The sequence below is a fragment of the Homo sapiens genome, chromosome 15 (genome assembly GCF_000001405.40).
Source record: "Homo sapiens chromosome 15, GRCh38.p14 Primary Assembly".
In the NCBI taxonomy this organism is placed as follows: domain Eukaryota; kingdom Metazoa; phylum Chordata; class Mammalia; order Primates; family Hominidae; genus Homo; species Homo sapiens.
The window spans coordinates 30,566,891-30,589,783 of NC_000015.10; the positions used below are offsets into that span (position 1 = coordinate 30,566,891).

The 22,893-nt window shown below is 43.8% G+C and overlaps 1 non-coding gene and 2 pseudogenes across 3 annotated transcripts in view, besides 2 other annotated features; 2 read left to right on the plus strand and 1 right to left on the minus strand.

Moving 5' to 3' along the window:
• Window positions 1-22,893: part of a non allelic homologous recombination region, noted in NCBI's record as "15q13.2-13.3 gamma inversion proximal recombination region, recombines with the 15q13.2-13.3 gamma inversion distal recombination region", that runs on past both edges of the window. NCBI's record gives the evidence for it as "EXISTENCE:nucleotide sequencing assay evidence [ECO:0000219][PMID:25326701]".
• Window positions 570-747: a silencer, noted in NCBI's record as "fragment chr15:30859663-30859840 (GRCh37/hg19 assembly coordinates)". NCBI's record gives its function as "represses an EF-1alpha promoter that drives an FKBP-Casp9 reporter gene in an ReSE screen in HepG2 liver carcinoma cells {active_cell/tissue: HepG2}" and the evidence as "EXISTENCE:reporter gene assay evidence [ECO:0000049][PMID:32094911]".
• On the minus strand, window positions 1,708-4,831 carry DNM1P50 (dynamin 1 pseudogene 50; annotated as a pseudogene). Its single transcript, NR_145478.1, has 4 exons — window positions 4,571-4,831; window positions 4,073-4,210; window positions 3,043-3,282; window positions 1,708-2,119 (listed from the first exon to the last, which is right to left on the minus strand). The product of NR_145478.1 is annotated as a dynamin 1 pseudogene 50 (transcript).
• The window catches only part of ULK4P2 (ULK4 pseudogene 2), a 28,154-nt pseudogene continuing 10,925 nt past the window's right edge, over window positions 5,665-22,893 (plus strand). Inside the window, exons 1-3 of the transcript NR_027470.1 lie at window positions 5,665-5,681; window positions 6,079-6,126; window positions 12,398-12,522. The product of NR_027470.1 is annotated as a ULK4 pseudogene 2 (transcript). The remainder of the gene's footprint in view (window positions 5,682-6,078; window positions 6,127-12,397; window positions 12,523-22,893) is intronic.
• On the plus strand, window positions 14,294-14,426 carry LOC124900358 (U8 small nucleolar RNA). Its single transcript, XR_007064810.1, has one exon. It is a non-coding gene; the product is annotated as a U8 small nucleolar RNA (small nucleolar RNA).

Sequence of the window (22,893 nt, forward strand, 5' to 3'; positions counted from 1 at the left end):
CTAGCGGTGGCCGGGAAGACAGGTACCAGCACCTAAGGGCACTGACTTCCACCCAGCCCCGGCATCTTCCGTTCTATCCCCTTGTCTCCCTCTCCTGTCTGCACCTGGTGGCCTGTTCTGTCTGTGCCTCCAGAGTGCCGGCTGCCCTGCAGGCTCCCTCTGGGCTGAGTTCATGGCCCTGCCCCCTGGTGGCCAGAGCCGGCTTCACAGGATAAGAGCCCGCTAAGCTCCAGGGGCTTTCCAGGAAGTGTCCCTTGGAAAGGGCATGGCCTTTTCACTGCTCCCAACAGCACCCTAGAAATGGCTTGGCCTTTCCCCTCCCCTGAGCTCCACAGAGAACACAGCCAGCAGAGGACACACTTCCCCGCCATCCAGAAGGGGGTTTGATTCTCAGCCAAGGGACAGCAGGACTGGTAGAGACTGTCAGGCCACTCAGCTGCCTGCACAGCACTCCCATGCTTGGTGGAGGCGGGGGGGGGCGGGAGGGATGGCGGGGTGTGTCTCTCCATAGGCTGGGCGTGACAGGGAGGCTCACTGAAGGTAGCGCACTTTGGAGGGGCAATGTCAGGGGTTAGCTTTCTCTTGTTTGGCCACAAGACTCCAAAAGGACAGCACGGTGACTGATTCCCAGCGCTAGAGGCGAGGCGGTTGGCCACATGTAGGTGTATGTGTGTGTGTGTGTGTGTGTGTGTGTGTGTATATGTATATGGGTATTTGTAGATATTTCTAGAACAGGGCAGGGGCATACCACAGAGGGGGGCACAAGTTTTCAGCAACGGTCACACCTGGATGTGTCAGCTCACTGCAACAATAGACTAAGTCACAGATGAAGGGGGGCTGGCTTTGGGGCTGGGGGAGCCACTGCCAAGTCACAGAACAGCCGCCCAGGCAGGCTTGGAAAGGGAAGTCTCTGAGAAGAGGAGGAATCTGTTTAGAGTTCAAAGGGGGGCCTGGGGCTCTCAGGATGGGATGGACTTGCCTGAGCCGATTGGCTGGCAGTTGGAGAGAAAGCAGAGAGAAGACAGGAGAGAGAAAAGCGAGCATATCATCTCACACCAGTTAGAATGGCAATCATTAAAAGTCAGGAAACAACAGGTGCTGGAGAGGATGTGGAGAAATCGGAACACTTTTACACTGTTGGTGGGACTGTAAACTAGTTCAACCATTGTGGAAGTCAGTGTGGCGATTCCTCAGGGATCTAGAACTAGAAATACCATTTGACCCAGCCATCCCATTACTGGGTATGTACCCAAAGGACTATAAATCATGCTGCTATAAAGACACATGCACACGTATGTTTATTGCGGCATTATTCACAATAGCAAAGACTTGGAACCAACCCAAATGTCCAACAATGATAGACTGGATTAAGAAAATGTGGCACATATACACCATGGAATACTATGCAGCCATAAAAAATGATGAGTTCATGTCCTTTGCAGGGACATGGATGAAATTGGAAATCATCATTCTCAGTTAACTATCGCAAGAACAAAAAACCAAACACCGCATATTCTCACTCATAGGTGGGAATTGAACAATGAGAACACATGGACACAGGAAGGGGAACATCACACTCTGGGGACTGTTGTGGGGTGGGGGGAGGGGGGAGGGATAGCATTGGGAGATATACCCAATGCTAGATGACGATTTAGTGGGTGCAGCGCACCAGCATGGCACATGTATACATATGTAACTAACCTGCACATTGTCACATGTACCCTAAAACTTAAAGCATAATAATAATAATAAAAAAAAAAAGCGAGCAGAGAGCTGGTGAGGCAAGTGCAGAGCACAGGTGTGCCACAGCAGCTGTGGGAGGGCCAAGGAGTAAAGGGTGCACGTGCGGGTGTGGCAAGGTTCCTGGAAAAGAGGGGCTGGAAGGGAAAGGGGAGGAAGACAGAGGGAGGAGCCGGAGTTTCACAGGTAGTGCCTGGGGGCTGTGGCAGCCCTCCCCACCCCACACGTGCTGGCCTCTTCCACGGCACCCAGTGCACCCACTGTTAAGACTGATGCTCAGCCCCTTTGGGCTTCCCTCTTCTCTGGTCACCGTGTCTTCCAACCCACTTGTCCAGGGCCGCCTCTCGCCTTGGGGAGCCCAAAACAACAGCCACCAGGCCTGATAGAGAAGAAACACTGCTTGAACCAGGATGATGAAGCTAAAAGGGATGGATGGGTGGAGTGATCGCCGGAGCCCCCTCTGGGGGGTCAGAAAGCCCAGGAACCCTTGAAGGGTCCCTGGGGGAGGAAAGGAGGGCATGCAGCTGGATGCCACTGGCTATAGACTTATAAGTCTAAGAGGGGAGCCTCAGCTTGTTGGGGGTTGCAGGTCGGATAGGTGAGGCTGGGCCCTTCCTGCTGGGAAAAGCAGAAGAGGGAGAGTCTATGGCAGGGGAGGTGGGTGGGCTTGTGGGGCGGAGGTCAGCTGGGCCAGCAGGCACTGTGGTCCCCTTGGCTGAATAGCAGAGGTGACCTCTAGGAGCAACACTCCAAGGTGCGTGAGCCTGCTGGCCAGCAATAGTGCTTCAGCGGGGGCCAGGGACCCTGCCTTCAGTCACACGCTAGCAGCTATGATGGTACCTGGGAGGGAGGGAAGGGGCCTGTGTTTCCTGCCTGGCCTGTGAGGTGTGTTGTGGGTTGACCGTGTGTATGGGACTCTCAAGGTTTTATCCTATCTCACCACTGCATTGCCGACAGATAGAGGAGGTGGGACTCTGACTATCACCCCTGCTCTGCAGTGGATTTGGCTCTCAGCACTCCCAGGCTGGGAGCTGGATGCCCTGCCCTGGCAGCATGACTCAGACTGCCCAACAGGTGCGGTGTGCACAGGAGGACTATCCTAGGACTCTGGCCGCCTCAGAGTACAGCCCCACACACCACCCCCTCTAAGCTCTCAGCCCTTACACCATAAACCATGAGCTCTGTGACGGCTCCAGGGAGCACCCATGTCTACCAGCGTGGGCACGGAGCCTGTTCCAAGAGTCCCCAGGCTCAGCCATGGGGGCTGGGGGGCTTTGGGGCCGTGGGAGCCAGCCTTGGTACCTGCATCCGGCAAGGACGCTCTGCACCTGCAGGCAGGAGTTGTCCACGGGCCCCCATGTGCGTGCTGATGGTGGTCGTGTTGATGTCGCCGATGATGCCGAGTGCCTCCTTCAGCACGTGGTACATGCGCAGCATCTCGTCGCGCCACTGTGCCTGCTCTGCCGACTCTTCCATCAGCGTTTTCTGGTCCCCACGTGAGTACAGGTTGGACAGCAGCTCCGAGAAGATGAACTCCTTGGTCTGAGAGCGGGCAAAGAGGGAAGGAGGTTGGGACCTGATGCCTTTGCTGCCCTGGCCTCCTGCCGGGCCCTGCTGGGACTGTGTGCTGGACTTGGAGCCCTGAGTATGGCTTTTCAGACGCGGCTTCTACACCGCTTAGACTCAAAGATCTGCCTCCCCACCGCCCTTTTCTCACTCAGATAGGGACACTGAGGTCCAAAGGAAAAGTCACCTGTCCAAGGTCACACATCTGGGAGGGGACCCAGGACCTATCATGCCACCAGGACACCGGTCTACTCAGTTTCTTAAAAATGTTTTTTGGAGATAGGATCTTGCTCTGTCGCTAGGCTGGAGGACAGTGGGCGAGATCACCACTCACTGTAGCCTCAACTTCTTGGGCTCAAAGTGATCCTCCAATGTCAGCCTGTCGAGTAGCTAGGACTATAGGTACGTGCCACCACCAAGCCCAGCTATTTTTAAAATTTTAGTGTAGAGATCAGGTCTCACTATGTTGCCCAAGCTGGTCTCGAACTCCTGGGCTCAAGCTATCCTCTTGCCTTGGCCTCCCAAAGTGCTGGGATTACAGACATGGGCCACTGTCCCCAGTCCCACGTTATATTTCTATGAGACAGCTCTGGTCTGGACTGTGCCTCCCTCCCTGGACCTTGGTCCCATAGGGCTGGTCAGCATCTCCCCCAGGCCAACATGGCCACCTGCATCCCCAGTGCTACAGGAGCCCCCTGCCCCTATGAGGCGGTGCATGCACGTTGTTGATCATGACGTGCATGATGGTCTTGGGCATGACACCAACCATGAGGTCCCACACGGTCTTGTTGACAATGGCCATGTAGGAGTCCACAAGGTTCTGGGTGGTTTCCATTTGCCGCTCCAGCTATGGGTCCATGGAGTGCATGAAGCTGTCGGAGCCATTCTCCTCAGCCTTGCTGTCCTGTCATGGAGAACACAGTGGCATCAGGGTGGCCAGGCCATGCAGCCAGGCTCCAGGAATCCCTAGGATCTCAGCACCTCCAAGGGTACCTGGAACATTGAGGCACAGAGAAAAACAACTGGCGTGAACATGCACCGAGCTCCCCACACGCTCTAGACGGTTTCAGGTATCTGCCTCTCAGGACCCCAGACTCCCCTGATTCAGTCTCCTCTTAGTTCTGACTCTAGTGCCCAGAATCTGCCTCAAGTTACCAATCCAGAAACTGGAAAAAAACATCTCCAGGTCCCCTGTTGGAGACCTGGCCAGAGCTTGTGCCAGGCTGCAGACGCCTGGCAGGGGGCAAGAAAGGGGCATACTCACTTTCCCCTTGTCCTGGGAGGCCCATGCACCAACACTGCCACCGCCGCCGCCACCAGGGAACACGGCAAAGTAGACACACACAGAGAGGAAAACGGGAAGGGTTGAGTGAACCTGGGACACTGCACCCCAACTTTAATGTGTTGTGGAATTCAGTTAGCTAATATTTTATTGAGGATTTTTGCATCAATATTCATCAGTGATATTGGCCTGTAGTTTTCTTTTTTGGTCTGTGTGTTTGATTTTGTTATCAGGGTAATGCTAGCCCTGTAGAATGAGTTTGCAAGTATTCCCTCCTTCTCTATTTTTGGAATCGTTTGGGTAAGGTTGGTATTAGTTCTTCTTTAAATGTTTGCTAGAATTCAGCAGTGAATCATCAGGTCCCAGGCTTTTCTTTGCTGGGAGACTTTTTATTACCACTTTGATCCCATTATTTGTTATTGGTTTGTTCAGGTTTTGGGTTTCATCATGGTTCAATCTTGGTAGGTTAGATGTGTCTGGAAATTTATCCATTTTTGGTAGGTTTTCCTATTTATTTGCACATAGTTGCTGACCACTAGTGATCCTTTGAGGTTTTTTTTCTTTTTTTTTTTTTATATGGAGTCTTGGTCTGTCGCCCAGGCTGGAGTGCAGTGGCGCGCTCTCAGCTCACTGCAAGCTCTGCCTCCCGGTTTCACGCCATTCTCCTCCCTCAGCCTCCCAAGTAGCTGGGACTACAGGCGTCCGCCACCACGCCCTGCTAATTTTTTGTATTTTTTCCGTAGAGACGGGGTTTTACCGTGTTAGCCAGGATAGTCTTATCTCCTGACCTCCTGATCCACCCGCCTTAGCCTCCCAAAGTGGTGGGATTACAGGCGTGAGCCACGCCCCCTTGGGACAGGGACACACACACACACACATAGACACACACACACACACACACACACACACACACACACACACACACACACACAGAGTTGGTGGTTGTGCCGCCCAGTCGCGAGTGTGAGGAAGGGACCAGATCGGTCGGGCAGAAAGGTGCTGGGTCAAGAGAGGAGGGGGCAGCCGGTAGCGCGGGCACGCCGGGTGCGCGCGGGGCGCGCCGGGTTGAGGGGTGAGGGGTGAGGGGTAAGAGGTGAGGGGCGACGAGGACCGGGGCGGGGTAGGGGCAGCCCTTTCCCAGGCGGTAGCGGGGGCAGTGGTGCTGTTGCCCTTTTAAACTGCGGCTTGACGGGAGCCGCGCCTCCTGTCGGTGGAGTCGGTTATAAAGGGAGCAGCCCCGCAGGCCGCCACATAGCTCCCGCCAAGTCCTCGGTGCCCCTTGCCATTTTCCAGCCGCGCTCCCACGAGGGTCACGGCGGCGGGGAGAGGTGGAGCCGCGAGAGCTCGGCCGGGGGCCCCGCCTGGTGGTCGCGGCCATGACAGCGGCTCGGGACAGGCTCCTTTTCCGCGCCCCTCCCGCCGGAGGTGAGGGGAAGATGTCCATGTCCGGGTTCAAGGCCAAACCGAAGTTACTGGCTTCTATCTTCCAGGAGAACCAGGAGCCACAGCCGCGGCTCACGCCCCACCGCAACATTAAGGTGAGTCGCCGGGTGGCGGCCTGGCGGGGCAGGGCGAGGGCGGAAAGCGGGTGCCCAGAGTCCCAGGAGAAAGGGGAAGCTGCCCCAGAGAGGCCGCGGTTCCCCGCCCCTTTCTCCCGCAACTGGCCCGCCCGGCAAGGCAGAGGCTTGGGTGGGAGAAGGCGGAGGGCGCGTCTCTCCAACTCCTAGCGCGGGGCTGGCTTGGGGGCTGCTGGCCCCTCTCGGCCCCTGTCGCTGCGCCTCGAGGTGGGAGCCCGCGGCTGCGGGAGCCCTCTTGGGACCCATGGTCGCCCTCAGTCAGCCCACCTGCTCTAGGGACCGCGACAGGGCGGGGCAGGGCGGCTCCCGCGTTGTTGGAGCCCAGGCGGGGAAGGGGAAAGGCCTTTAAGATTTTCGGTTTTTTGGCCGGGCGTAGTGGCTCACGCCTGTAATCCCAGCATTTTGGGAGGCCAACCGGGCTGATCACTTGAGGTCAGGAGTTGGAGACCAGCCTGGCCAACATGGTGAAACCCGTCTCTACTAAAAAATAGAAAAATTAGCCGGTCGTGTTGGCAGGCGACTTAATCCCAGCTATTTGGGAGGCAGAGGCAGGAGAATCGTTTGAACCCGGGAGGCGGAGGTTACAGTGAGCTGAGATCGAGCCATTGCACTCAAACCTGGGGGAGAAGAGCGAGACTTCTCTCTCTCTCTCTCAAAAAAAAGTTTTCTTTCTTTTTTTCTTTTTGTTGAGACAGAGTCTCACTCACTCTGTCGCCCAGGCTGGAGTGCAGTGGCGCGATCTCGGCTTACTGCAGCCTACCTCTCTTGACAGTCCACTGGTTAAAGCGATTCTCCTGCGTCAGCCTCCCGAGTAGCTGAGATTACAGGCGCCCGCCACCACGCCTGTCTAACTTTTGTGTTTTTAGTAGAGACGGATTTTTTAGTAGAGACGCGGTTTCACCATGTTAGCCAGCATGGTCTTGATCTCCTGACCTCATGATCCACCCGCCTCAGCCTCCCAAAGTGCTGGGATTACAGGCGTCAGCCACCGCGCCCGGCCTCTGTTTTGTTTTATACATGTAATATATTCACAAGTATCTTTACGAAGTGATTTTGATACTCTTTTGTCTTCTCCCTAGAATCTCTTTGTTCTGTAATAATTCTTTCTTAGTTTATATTGATCTTATTTTCCTTTTTAAAGCCTTTCCTTACATATCTATTCTATGTTGCTTATCATTTGTAGTTTTTTTATTTTTTATTTATTTATTTATTTATTTATTTTGAGAGGGAGTCTCGCTCTGTTACCCAGGCTGGAGTGCAGTGGTGCAATCTGGGCTCACTGCAAGCTCCGCCTCCCAGGTTCACGCCATTCTCCTGCCTCAGCCTCCTGAGTAGCTGGGACTACAGGCGCCAGCCACCACGCCCCAACAATTTTTTGTATTTTTTAGTAGAGACGGGGTTTCACCGTGTTAGCCAGGATGGTCTCGATCTCCTGACCTCATGATCTGGCCACCTTGGCCTCCCAAAGTGCTGGGATTACAGGCGTGAGCCACCGTGCCCAGCCCTGATTCTATATTATAGTGAGTTGTACAATTATTTCATTATATGTTACAATGTAATAATAATAGAAATAAAATGCACAATAAATGTAATGTCCTTGAATCATCCCAAAATCATCTTCCCCAACCTTGTCTGTGGAAAAATTGTCTTCTGCAAAACTGGCTCCTGATGCCAAAAAGTTTGGGGACTGCTGGCATAAGTGGTCTCATATAGTAGTTGTCCTTTTGTGCCTGGCTTATTTCACTTAGCATAATGTCTTTAACGTTCATCCATGTTGTAGCATGTGCCAGAATTTCATTTGTTTTTAAGGCTGAATAATATTCCCTTGTATGTATTTAATATGCCTTTTTATCTTTTCCTCTGTTGATGAATACTTGGGTTGCATCCACCTATTGGCTATTGTGAATAGGTTTGCATTGCCTGTCTTTCTCATGATCGCCATCCTATTTCACATCTAGCAGGTGTGAAATTCCATTGATTGAGTGATTGATTGAGACAGGGTCTGACTCTGTCGCCCAGTCTGGAGTGCAGTGGCATGATCTTGGCTCACTGCAACCTCCATCTCCCAGGCTCAAGCAATTCTTCTGCCTCAGCCTTCCGAGTAGCTGGGATTATAGGCATGCACCACTACCAGCTGGCTAATTTTTGTATTTTTAGTAGAGACGGGGTTTCACCATGTTGGCCAGGCTGGTCTCGAACTCCTGACCTGAAATGATCCACCTGTCTCCGCCTCCCAAAGTATTTGGATTACATGTGTGAGCCACTGCGCCCAGCTAGTAGGTGTGAATTTCTATGTCTTAGTGGTTTTGATTTGCATTTACCTGATGGCAAATGATGTTGAGTATCTTTTCATGTGTTTATTGGCCATTTGTCTGTTTTTTTTGGGGAAATACTTATTCCAAAATTTAACTTATTTTTAATTGGGTTATGTATCTCTTTATTATTTAGCTGTAAGAATTTTTTACATATTCTAGATAGGAGTTATAACAACTTTCTTCCTTTTTCTGGATTGTCTTTTTTCTTTCTTGATGGTGTCCTTTGAAGCAGAAAGATTTTAAATTTTGATATAGTCCAATTTATCTTTTTTCATTTGTGTTTTTTTGCTCCTTGTGCTTTTGGTGTAATATCTAAAAAAACGTTGCTACTCCAAGGTCACAAAGGTTTCTGCCTATGTTTTTTTCTATGAGTTTTATAGTTTATCAATATCTCTTATATTGAGCTCTTTTATCCATTTGAATTAATTTTTGCATGCGGCATGAAGTAGGGGGGTATAGCTTCATTGTTTTGCACCTAGACATCCAGTTATCTCAGAACTATCTGTTGAAAAGCTTATTCTTTCCCCATTGAATTGTCTTGGAACGCTTATTGAAGATCAATTGACTGTATATGTGAAAGTTTATTTCTGGATTCTATTCTTTTCTCTGTTCATCTGTCCTTATACCAGTAGCACACTCTTGATTACTGTAGCTGTTTAGTAAGCTTTGAAATCAGAAAGTATGAATCCTCCAGAAAGTTTTTTAAGGTGGGTTTGGCTGTTCTGGGTCACTTGCATTTCCATATGAATTTTAAGATCAGCTTGTCAGTTTCTGCAAAGGAGCCAGCTGGGATTTTAATCACAGTCGCATTGAATATGTAGATCAACTTAGAAAGTACTGCCATTTTAACAATATTAAGTTTTCCTCCACGAACACAGGATGTATTTGTACTTAATTAGGTCTTCCTTTAATTTCTTTCAATCGTAGTTGTGTTGAATGCAGACCTACTTTGAATTAATTCTAAGTAATTTTTATGCTACTTATTGGTTGACAAATATAATTGCTTTTAGTTTTTAACTGTAGTTTTGATGTAATGTGAACTGTATTTGGACCTTGTGAAGCTTATTTCTGCTTTGAAATTTAGTATAAACTGGTTATAATAAAATCTGACTGTGCTAATTTTTTGGTTATGTGAAATAGAAAATCAATGTAAATTTAAAAATTTATTCTGGGCCGGGCGCAGTGGCTCACACCTGTAATCCAAGCACTGTGGGAGGCTGAGGAGGGCAGATCACAAGGTCAGGAGATCAAGACCATCTTGGCTAACACAGTGAAAGCCCATCTGTACTAAAAATACAAAAAATTAGCCGGGTGTGGTGGTGGGCACCTGTAGTCCCAGCTACTTGAGAGGCTGAGGCAGGAGAATGGTGTGAACCTGGGAGGCGGAGGTTGCGGTGAGCTGAGATCGCACCACTGCACTCCAGCCTGGGCGACAGAGTTAGACTCCGTCTCAAAAAAAAAAAAAAAAAAAAATTCATTCTGAAATGCGATAGATGTTGAAGCTCTTCTGGCAGATGGTTATAAAGAGGAATATATAATCATTCTATTGAGAAAATATAATCAATAATGTGAATACCTAAGGTAGTTTATTTTACATATATATCTCGGTATTTATTTATTTTTGAGACAGAGCCTCACTCCTGTCACCCAGGGTGGAGTGGAGTGGCACGATCATGGCTCATTGCAGCCTCAACTTCTTGGGCTTAGGTGCTTATCTCATCTCATCGCAGCCACCTGAGTAGCTGCGACTACAGGTGTGCGCCACCATGCATGGCTAATTTTTTGTATTTTTAGTAGAGGTTTCCCCATGTTGTCCAGGCTGGTCTGAAACTCCTGGACTCAAGTGATCTGCCCGCCTCGGCCTCCCAAAGAGCTGGGATTACAGGTGTGAGCCACTGTGTTGGCCTTATGTTTTATAATTTTTAAATGATACTTTTTATTCTATTACAAAACATATATAATTGTAAAAAACTTGTAAAATATAAAAGAGGACAAAGACAATAGAAAAATTATTTACAATGTAATTCCCAAGTAAACACTGATTACCTTTTTTTTTTTTTTTTAGAGCCTGTTGCTCAGGCTGGAGTGCAGTGGCACCATCATAGTTCACTGTAACCTCATACATCTCATACATTTTGATATTACTACTTCTGGTTTTATACATAATGTGTTCACTTTGAAGCAAGAGAGTATAATTTTATAACGATTATTTTCATTTAATGATCATGATCTCATTGCAATTATTGATCATTTAGTTTATTCCTGAACATTTTGTTTTATATATTTTTGCTATTGTGAGTGGGATATTTGTTATAACTTGGCATTTGTGCCTACACTCAATTTACCTATAGGAAACTAATTTTTGCATACAATTGTTTTAATTGGTGCAGTGGCACAATCTCAACTCACTGCAACCTCCGCCTCCCAGGTTCAGGTGATTCTCCTGCCTCAGCCTCCTGAGTAGCTGGGATTACAGGCACATGCCACCACACCCAGCTAATTTTTGTATTTTTAGTAGAGACAGTGTTTCACCATGTTGGTCAGGCTGGTCTTGAACTCCTGACCTCGTGATCCACCCGCCTCGGCCTCCCAAATTGCTGGGATTACAGGCTTGAGCCACCGTGCCCGGCCTCGGCCTCTTTGTGTGTTTTCGTATATCTTTCATCTGAGTTGCAAGGGGCACCTTGGGTTTCCAGGAATTTTCTTAGCTAACTCTGTTCCTTTATCTATGACCCTTCCTCACTAGTTTTGGATAATTTATTTTCCTTCTTCCTTACTTCACTGATTTACTTTTCTATTTTATTTAGTTTGCTAGTCATTGTTTCTTTTAAGGTTCTTAAGCATAAATCCTTTTTTTTTTTTCTGATGGGAAATACTGGGGCATAGCACTAGGAATACAAATTATGTTTAAATAGAGCACAAAGAACCATCTCAAAGGAATAACTGATGGTGAATGTCTGGTGATTGATTTTATTATGTATCATCTCTAATGAGGCTTAATAAATAATTGAGGTTTAACACTTAGGTAACCGGTCTGTATTTAAGTCTGAAAATTTTTGTATGTTACAGTTTCAACTTCACATTGAATATTCTGTAAAGCAGAAATAAATTGATCAGCATTCTATGAATGAAAAATAAAGCCATGGGTCGGGTGCAGTGGCTCACACCTATAATCCCAGCACTTTGGGAGGCCGAGGCAGGTGGATCACCTGAGGCCAGGAGTTTGAGACCAGCCTGGCCAACATGGTGAAACCTTGTCCCAGCTACTGGAGAGGCTGAGGCAGGAGAATGACTTTAACCCAGGAGACAGAGGTTGTGGTGAGCTGAGATCGCGCCACTGCACTCTAGCCTGGTGACAGAGCAAGACTCTGTCTCAAAAAAAAAAAAAAAAAAAAAAAAAAAATTAGCTGGGCATGGTGGTGCACACCCGTAATTCCACTACTTGGGAGGCTGAGGCAGGAGAATCACTTGAACCCAGGAGGCAGAGGTTGCAGTGAGCCAGGGTTGCACCACTGCCCTCCAGCCTATGTGACAGACTGAGACTCCATCCCTAAAAAAAAAAAAAAACCAAAAAAAACCATGCTGGTAATCAAAAAAGCAGTTTGCCTCATCAGAGTTTAGAACGTTGAATTGTAAAGATCTTTTTTGTAGTCCTAGCCAGTTTTAATGGTAACATGAGCAATTCAGTTACTTTCTCAGAGTTTTATATTTTTATCTGTAAAATGGAAATTATGGTACCTACAGTTTAGGATTTTTGTGAAAATCAAGTGAGACTGCAAGTGTCTTGAATAGCAGTGGAAGTACATTGATATAGGTGATATTTTACAGTGGTGTCTTCCTCAGCATCATATTAGTTCAGTGTTTTAAAGCTCTATATTAGTCACAGAAACAAAGTCAAATTTTTGTTCTCATTTCAGATTACAAGTGGACACCTGAGTCAGCAGGACCTGGAATCCCAGATGAGAGAGCTTATCTACACGACTCAGATCTTGTTGTCACCCCCATTATTGACAATCCAAAGGTGCAGAAAGCACTCTGACAAGTGAGTTGTAGACTTTACTGAGATCTGAAATCTGCATAAGATTTTCATTCAGAATATTATTTACTGTCTAATCTTTCCTGTTTCTCTTGTCCGCTACTCTTTCATTTGTGCTGCATGTCTGCATTTCCAGCTCCCGCTCTGTCTGCAACCCTTTCCTCTGCCTTCACTTCCGCTTCACTGGAGTTCTAAGTTTTCCCCCCTCTGTTTTGAATGAGTCAGCTCTGCTTCTCACTACTGCTTTCTTCCACATGCCACGGAGGGGTTGCCAGCCTCTTGACCTCAGACCTTAGCTCTCAGTCCCATCGTTTCTCCATCTGCACTAATGTGAATCACTCTAAGTATTCTAGTCTCTGATGTGTTTTGAAGGCAGAAGCAGTCAGAGGGCACTGCTCACCAGGCTGGGCTGGGCAGGCAGATCACACGGAAGCCCTGCCCTGTCACAGGTTGTTAATACTGCAGGGGAGATGGTGGGGAGACACTATGGGAACTTGAGGAGTCATGGTTCACAATGTACTTCTAAACCACTGTGAGTTTTTTTGCTTCTTGTCTTTTGGAATATAATACTTTATTGCTGGGGGATAATGAGTATTTACTTTAAAAAACAGATGCATTTCTAAGTCCCTCTGTTTTGTCTTGACTTCCAGCTCCCCAACATACTCACATTCCACTACTTATTCTCTATTTTAACTTTACTGCTTCTTTTACTTTTTTTTAGTTTTACTTTTATTTTTTATTTTTTTGAGACAGAGTCTTGCTCTGTCACACAGGCTGGAGTGCAATGACGCGATTTTGGCTCACTGCAAGCTCCGCCTCCCAGGTTCATGTCATTCTCCTGCCTCAGCCTCCCAAGTAGCTGGGACTACAGGTGCCCGCCACCACGCCCTGCTAATTTTTTGTATTTTTAGTAGAGACAGGGTTTCACCATGTAAGCCAGGATGGTCTCGATCTCCTGACCTTGTGATCCACCCACCTCGGCCTCTCAAAGTGCTGGGATTACAGGCATGAGCCACCACACCTGGCCTTCTTTTTCTTTTTTAAATATCTTTTTCTGTATTAATTCATGACTGTTTTTTTCTTGTCTCATTGGGAACATTAGTGTGGTTTAGAACAATGTAAGGGTTTTTGGATTCATGTTTATTTTCTAGATAGACAGCATTTTATATAGATGATTTAGCTGTTTTTCATAATGGAGCTAATTCTTTTTGTGAGTTCATATGTCTGGCAGTGTAACTTTATTATGCTAAGTTTGATGTGCATTGGCGCATTTTCAAAATGGGCTTTCTAGAACAATTTGTGATATCTTTCCCAGGGGTGTCCAGTCTTTTGGCTTCCCTGGGCCACACTGGAAGAAGAATTGTCTTGGGCCACACATAAAATACACTAACAATAGCTGATGAACTAAAAAACCAATAAAAAAAAATTGCAAAAAAATTCTTACAATGTTTTAAGAGAGTTTATGAATTTGTGTTGGGCCATATTCAAAGCCGTCTTGGGCCGCATCCAGCCCACGGGCTGCGGGTTGGACAAGCTTGCTTTACACAATATTCTGTGTTTCCTTTTTTCCTCTTATAACCATATTTGATAGTTTATGGGAAGCCTTCATCAGTGGAAATTTTTGTGTTTAACTTTTAATTCTAAACTACTTTTAGAGAAAAGATTAAAAAATAGTTGAGAACTCCTGTATAGCTTTTGCCCAGCTGCTCTTAATGTTCACATCTTATAGGTCTATAGTATAGTTAGCAAAACCTGGGAATTAACATTGGTATAGTGTTAGTCAGGCGGGATAATCCTTACCTGTGCCTCCTTTTGGAGGGCAGCAGAATGTGGTAGTTGGAGTTGCATGATACTTGATTCATATCTCTGTGTAATGATGGCATGCAATACCCTGACTGCTCCTTTCGAATTCTTCCTGAAAAGGGAAAAATAAAACATGAGAATAGTGCTGCTAACTACCAAATGCATTTGAATTTTACCGGTTGCCTCTAATGTCCTCTTTTTTTTTGTTCCAGGATCCCACATTACAGTTAGTTGTTATGCCTCCTTAGTCTCATATAGTCTGTCCTAGTTTTTCACGGTTTTGTCAGAATTTCTCAGACTTTGCTTGTCTTTCATGACCTTGACAGTTTGTCTTTTATTTTGTTTTGTTTTGTTTTTTGTCACCCAGGCTGGAGTGTAGTGGCGCGATCTCAGCTCACTGCAACCTCTGCCGACCGGGTTCAAGCTATTCTCCTGCCTCAGCCTCATGAGTAGCTAGGATTACAGGCACCTGCCACTGCACCTGGCTAAGTTTTGTAGTTTTAGTAGAGATGGGGTTTTACCATGTTGGCCAGGCTGGTCTTGAACTCCTGACCTCATGATCCACCTGCCTAGGCCTCCCAAAGTGCTGGGATTACAGGCGTGAGCCACGGCACCTGGCCTTTGTATGTTTTTGTAATACATGTTATAAAACGTATGACTCAAGTCCTTGACACTTTGAAGAGTAACTGGTTGGGTGTTTTGAAGAATGTCCCTTAATTTAGGTTTGTCTAAGGGTTTCTCATGACTCGAATGAGATTATGAATTTGGATTATGAGATTAGAATGAGAATATGCATTTTAGTAAGAATACTACAGTAAGTACAGTAATGCTGGTTACTTAATTAGTAAAGGTTTTAAAAATATTACATATAGAAGTTTTGCAGAAGTTAGGTATAGAAATGATGGTTGAATTTTTAATTAAAAGTCTCAAGATGCAGTATCTGGCTGTCCTAAGCTCATGGATCCAACTACATGGTTTCTTCACATTTCTGAAATAAATTATGCACTTTCCAATTCATGCTATTATGGCTTCCTTGAATGGTGTCTTCTCTGATATAATCATAAAGTTCTAGCCATCCTTCAAGACCGCAACCCACCTTCTACCTCTTCCGTAAACCCGGTGTCAACTATATCAAGTAAAGTGCTTGCTGTATTCTCTAAACTACTATTTACAAAAAAAATTCTTTCTGTCCAGGGTTTTGTCTGTAGTTATGTCCTGCCTCTTTTGAATTGTGAAATATTTTCTTGTTTATCAAATGTTTGTCTCATCTTCCCAACCAGAAAGTCAGCTCGCTGAAAATAGGATTGTGTCTTTTATATCTTTGTATCCCCCTTAGCACTTGACATAGAGCCTTACCTTGGCAGGTAAGCAATAGATATTTGTTGAAAGACTGAATTTCTAATTAGACGTAAATTACCTAAAAAGTAAGCCAGGATGGGGTGAATTTTTTCTTTGAAGCTTTATTTTATTACAGATATCAATTGAAATGATTTTAAAAAATAAATTATTATCTATATATGTATGTTTTAATCTGAAAAGGCATCGTTCTTTTTGTTTTTGGTAACAAATTTTACACATTCTTTTTTTGTCCTCATTGATTTATTATCTGATATAAGGGACATATAAGGAGACAGATATCCATCTTTAAAATTGCCTCAAAAGTTTTTTTTTTTTTTAACCACAGATAATGAAACAACCACCATCGGTTAAATTTGATGCAAAAATATTGCATCTACCAGCATTTTCAGGTAGGATCATAAAGGACTTATCGAACATGTAGACTGTCTGTATACAGATACGAATATGAAATTTATTCACAAATGGAATATTTGTATGTGAACAACTAAATTTATTTTGTCTTGACAATTGGTTATATTCTTGGGTCAGTGTTATGTGAATTGTAAATAATCTGTAATTCATTTGTGCCAGCTGTTGACATTTCTCAGCTGAGTCTGGGCTGCCCTGTCCTCTTGTGAGTGGGGAGGTTCCTGTAGATCTGGGCAAGTTTTCCTGTAGAGTGGGTGGGGGGCCTCCTCCCTTCCGTTCATAGAGCTGGTTGAATTTCCACCATTTATGGCAGGTGTAGGTGCACAGGGTTGGGGACAACAAGGAAGGATTGGGATTCTATTGGCGGGACCAGGACATTTGAGAACGGGACTAGGTGGTTCATGACTGTGGAGATGGTGTGGGAGTGGAGATACTTAAGGGATAATTATTACATTTCTGTTGAGCTAATGAAAATCTTATTTACGGTGAAAGTCAGAAATTTTTACATACCTTAAACTTTTTTTTTTTTAACAAATTTTATTTTAAGCTGTTAAACTCAATTTGGGGAAAATTATTCATTGTGGCTAGAGTAGAATCTATGATTTGAAGTAAATTTAAAATATATTTAGGTTTAAATAAACCAGCTAAGGGTTTATATCAGTCAACTTAATTAGTGATAAAAACAACCAAAAAAACCTGTGTAGAAGGACGTTTTTGAAAGACCAAAGTGAAGCAAAATATTAATAGTGCTTTCAGTGCCAAGTAGGTCTATTTATGCAAACCTAGAGAATTATTATTGGGAAATACTATTTCCTTTTTCTTCTTTGAGTTACTTAGGAAATTATATTTACAATTTCTTTGTCTAAAGATTGAGATCAGCAAAAACATGTTAGCAAAAAATTTTAGGGAGTATCACATTTCCTAGATTTTGCCCTTTTTTTATAGGGATTTGGAGGTAGGAATTTCAGGTGATTTTAGCTATCATGTTATCCTCGTTATTTTTTTACAGTAATTTCATTGGAACTTTTTAATAACTGTGTGGTTTGTGCTTTTCTCAATATCTGAGAGTTGATTTATTTATACAAAGGCTTTTTTGTCTTTTACTCCAGTTGTATTGAACTTTGCATTTTGTTATAATCTAGGTTGTGAGACAATTCTGCTTTAGACATCTGCTTGGTTTGAAAGCATAGTTTTCCATTGAAGTGTTTAAAAAGTTTCCATGGATAGATAAAGAGATGAGGAATATAGAAGGACAAATAGAAGTAGTGTCATCTTTGGAGTATTTTTGGTGTTGACAGAGTAATGTTTTCTTTGTCCTCATCTTAGCTGTCGTAACTCTGTGTTTATTTCTCATGTAATGTTTCCAGCAGTTGTTTTTCTCATCATCATACTTTTGTTATTTTCTTTCCTTGGCAATGGATAAGTTATAATTTCTGAAAGACCAAGATTGGAATGACTTTTTGTAACAAGTGTGCTCGCAGATCGACTCCAGTGAGAAGAGCTCGGGGACCTCCTGAGCCAAGCTTAATCTCCTTTGCTGTTTGTGAGTGGTGGCTGGTCACCAGGAGGTGGCCACCAGGCTCCTCCTTTCCCCACTGGTAGGCCTCTGTGACATGACTTATGCATTTAAATTTATGTTTTTTATAGAGGCTCAAACAAGTGCTAAAATAGCAATTTGATTTAACTACCATGAAAAAACTGATTTATCACGATTTTAGGTTTATGCAAATTATCCTCTGCTTAATCCTTACGTCTTAAAGTAGATAAGAGTAGACGGTGATTTTGAACTTTTTGTTGTTGTTGTTGTTTGTAATACTCAGGTTTCCATTTTATGTTAACTTGTAAGATTTTTAAAAAATATGTGAAATCAGGCCGGGCGTGATATCATAAGACAGACCTTTTACCTTCTCATCAGTGACTGGAATGAACGCCTGTAATCTCAGTACTTTGGGAGGCCGAGGCAGGTGGATCACCTGAGGTCAGCAGTTTGAAACCAGCCTGGCCAACATGGCGAAACCCCATCTCTACTAAAAATACAAAATTAGCAGGGCGTGGTGGTGCACTCCTGTAATCGTAGCTACTTGGGAGGCTGAGACAGGAGAATCACTTGAACCCAGGAGCCAGAAGTCGCAGTGAGCCGTGATCATGCCATTGCACCCCAGCCTGGGCAAAAAGAGCGAAACCCCATCTCAAAAAATAAAAACAAAAAACAAACAAAAAAAAATGTGATATCATAAGACAGACCTTTTCCCTTCTCATCAGTGACTGGAATTAACTGCCCATGTGGAACGGGTTGTGGGTGTTGGTTCCTTTACTGGGTCATCTGGTAAACTGCAAGGTTTCTGCTGTGACATTGAAGGCAGACATCAACCCTCTAAGATATTTTTTTCCTATCCTCTGGGAATATTACTTTTTGGACAATCTTGGTCCATTGGTAAGCTCATGGGAATTTGTCAGAGTTTTTTTGTTTCTTTTGGCTCATGTTTAGCATCGATTGGCAGAGTGTTTGGAGTCATCCTCAGAAAGGAATTACAGTGGTTCGGAGGTGTTTTCTGTAGTGGGCCCTCATTTGGGAATTGGCTTGAAAAAAATGTAAGTTCACTTGCTTCCAGGATGGTATTAAGATTGCTTTTTTTGATAGTTGGCGTGTGTCTATCAGGTAAAGGCTGTCATTTAGAGAATATAAAGTGGTAGGAGAAACTAAAAGTACTGTTCTTAGTTTTTATTTTAATCTTATTCATATACAAGTGCCTTTGTAATTTAGCAAATATCATTTTTGGTGTACAGTATAAATTTCCTTTTTATAAAGATCTGAGTTTTTAACTTTGCTGTCACTTTCTGTGTTTCATGACTTAAATATTTTAATTTTTTCTTTTTTTACATTTACATTTTTTATTCTAGTTCCAATTGCTAATCCAGCATTTGTGGATAGCTGCAAACTGTGATATGTAAGTAACATTTACATTTTAAAAATTATTTCTCATGGTTTTATTAAGTAGTTACAGCATACATATTTATCAAAAGCAGAGTCCTAAGTAATTATCATAAATTTTTCTGATGTAATGATGAATCTACTCATAGGCAATTTTTATGGGCATTCCAATTATAAACTTTAGAATATTTAAAAATAGCCCTTCTCCTAATATAGATACGATTCTGGGATTATCTAAGCTACTCCTGGAAACTTTATTAACTGTTGTTGTTTTTTTATTTTCGTAGAGACAAGGTCTCTCACTATGTTGCCCAGGCTGGTTTCCAACTCCTGGGCTCAAGTGATTCTCCCATCTCTGACTCCCAAAGTGTTAGGATTACAGACGTGAGCCACTGCGCCAGGCTAACTGTTACTGTTTTGAGTATTGGTTATAAAATACTTCAACCCTGATCCCTGTGTATTAATTTAGTTATACTTCCTCAAAGTTTCCCTTGGGCACCCTTATCTGTCCCTATGTAGCACATAGCTTCCCTATGATGTTATTTATAATCTAATGAGATTAATTATGATTTATAAACTCCCGATGGAAGGAAGTGTCCTTACTTTTTATAGAAGCAACATACCAGGTGGAAAGCACCGTAGATCAAGTGTTAGAAGGCTCTGGGTTCCTGTTGCCTATAAGACTTGGCCAAATGATTATCTTTTTCTCAATCTCTGTTTCCTGGGGAGTGTGGGTGGGACAAGGAAATGGCATAGGTTTAGGATTCAGACAGACCTGGGTGTGGATCAAAGATCTGCTTTCTGGGCCAATTACTTTAATTGCTGAGCCGCAGTTTCCTCATCTGTAAAATTGCGATGGGATAACTACTTCATAGATTTTTGGTAATTATTCAACTTTGAATGTGGTAAATATGTGAGATACCTGGTATAGTGCCTGTTTCTTTCTTTCTTTTTTTTTTTTTCTGAGTCGGCATCTCCCTCTGTCACCCAGGCTGGAGAGCAGTGGTGCGATCTCAGCTCACTGCAAGCTCCGCCTCCCGGGTTCACGCCATTCTCCTGCCTCAGCCTCCTTAGTAGCTGGGACTACAGGCGCCCGCCACCGCGCCCGCCCGGCTAATTTTTTTCACCGTGGTCTCGATCTCCTGACCTCGTGATCTGCCCACCTCAGCCTCCCAAAGTGCTGGGATTACAGGCATGAGCCACCGTGCCTGGCCGTATAGTGCCTGATTCTTAGTGGGTATTTCATTGACAGTGGGGTTGGGGTTGTAGAAGTTGTAGTTATTATCATGAAGCTTGCTTATCTCATGATTGTTAGGACAGGCACATGAAAAAACGGAGGTGAAAGGATTTTGTGAATTGTGGCAGTGGTATAATAATTATTCTTCTATGCTGGTGAAATATGGGTGAAACAATAGGAGTTTAGAAAATGTTTAATAATAAGGGTAATTCTTATTATACGTCTTCTAATGTTACTCTCGCAAAGTAAAATCTGGTAATAGAAAGTAGGATTTTTAGGTAATGGTTGAGCATTTAATACTTTGAGAAGGCTTATGGTATGCTCATTAAAAATGAATCAATGAAATATGTATTTAAACACTTTTATTTAAAACGTGTTATATACCTGAATGGGGTGCTCCCTGCTGACATTTTCAGACAGACATTCCAAATCATTTCCGAGAACAGTCATCCCTCTGTATCAGCCAGGAGAATGGTTCTAGTATCCCCTTGGATACTAAAATTAACACATACTGTTTTTTCCCCCACTGTTAAAAATTGAGGTTTGATTGTAAAACAGTTTTAATTTGAATAAAATGATACTGAGGTAGACAAGTTCTCTGGTAGGAATCTTCTTTTATTCTCTTTCTCCATCCAAAGCCACTTCCAGCGAGGTTTTCTCTGACCTCAGGTTATATTACCTTGATAGCATATGATAAAGGGTCCTTAACCTAGTCTGGGAGATAATTATTATTGAAGTAGATACTTAGTTTTGTTTTGCTTATAAAAAATTAGAATCACATGATATAGTTTTTTATGTTTGTTTTCCCCCATAACATATATATTATGTATTTTAAATGTTATCAACATTTTAAAATAAAATACATAATACTTAAGGTAAACGTTTTATATGTTGTGAATATCTGATCATTTTGTTTACTATTTTTGGATAGTATTATAATGTTGTAAACAACATTTTGATGAACATTTTTGAGATTAAATCTTCGTGCCCGCTTTTTCTTTTTCCCTTTAGGAAAGATTCATAGAACTAGAACAAATGGGTAGAAGGCAGTAAATATCTTTGTGACTTCTGAAAAATTGCTGAAATACTCTTTAAAAAACATTGTATCAATAGATAATCCCAGTCAATGTGTTTAAAATGCCTTTTGTTAGAACTTCCAACGTTGAGTATTTATCAAATTGTATATCCTTTTATCCTTGCCAATCAACTTTATGAGGTATAATTCATATATAGTAATAGTGTAATACTGTAACTTTAAAATGTGTTACTTGTAAATTACACATAATTTAAAATGTTCCATTTTAGCTATTTTTATGTGTACAGTGACATTTAGTTCATTCCCATTGTTGTGTAACCATCACCACTATTCATTTCCAGAACTTTTTCGTCATCTTGAACAGAAGCTCTTTACCCGTTAAACATAACTTCCCCTTTCCTTTCCCTTCCCCAGTCCTGGTAACCTATACTCTACTTATTCTATCTTGGTAAATTTGCTTATGGTGAGTACCTCATATTGCTACTGAAACATCGAGGGGTTTGGTCTAGGTCCTGTTGCTCACAGCGCAGAAAGCCAATCACGGAGACGATGAGTGTTGCTAGGGAAGAAGGCTTCAATTGGGTGCTGCAGCTAAGGAGATGGGAGATCAATCTCAAATTTGTCTCCTCGACTGACTAAAACCACGGGTTTATTTAGCAGGGAAGAAATGTAACCACGTATGGGAAAACAGGAGTTAGGGAAGGGTGAGGGAGAGGAGTTGGTCGACAGGAAGCAGGTAGTTGGTTAGGCAATTGTGATGGGTGAGGTGGTCTGGTGTCTTATGGTCCAGATGTGGTGATCTGGTAAGTTTCAGTTCCTTGATAACTATCTGGGAGGCCTGATGGTTGGTTTCCCAAGAAAGGAACTCAGATAAGACAAATGTAATTTTCTCAAGTTTTAAGACTGGGAGGGTCAATTTCTATCTTTATTTTAAAAGACTGTAAACATCAGTTCTATAGGACAATTGGGCTGGTTTCATTTGCAAGGTTTATCCATGTTGTAACTAACATGTGTCAGCATTTCATTCCTTTTTAAGGCTGAATAATATCCCTTTGTATGTAATATACCACAGTTTATCTTTTCATCTGTTGTTGGGCACTGGCTTGTTTATATCTTTTGGCTATTGTGAACAATGCTGCTATGAACATTAGTGTTTTCACACCTGATGGGTGTGAAGTTAGTATCTCATGGGTTTGATTTGTATTTTGTGACTAGTGATGTTGAACATCTTTTTTTGTGATTGTTGGCTATTTGTATATCTTCCTTGGAGAAAGGTCTAGTCAAGTCATTTGCCAATTTTTTTTTTTTTTTTTTGAGATTGAGTCTCGCTCTGTCGCCCACGCTGGAGTGCAGTGGCGTGATCTCGGCTCACTGCAACCTCTGCCTCCCAGGTTCAAGCGATCATTCCATCTCAGCCTCCCAAGTAGCTGGGATTACAGGCACCTGCCATCATGCCCAGCAATTTTTGTATTTTTGTAGAGACGAGGTTTCACCGTGTTGGCCAGATGGTCTTGAACTCCTGACCTCAGGTGATCCACCCGCTTTGGCCCCCCAAAGTGCTGGGATTATAGGTGTGAGCCACCGCACCCAGCTGGTAGATTT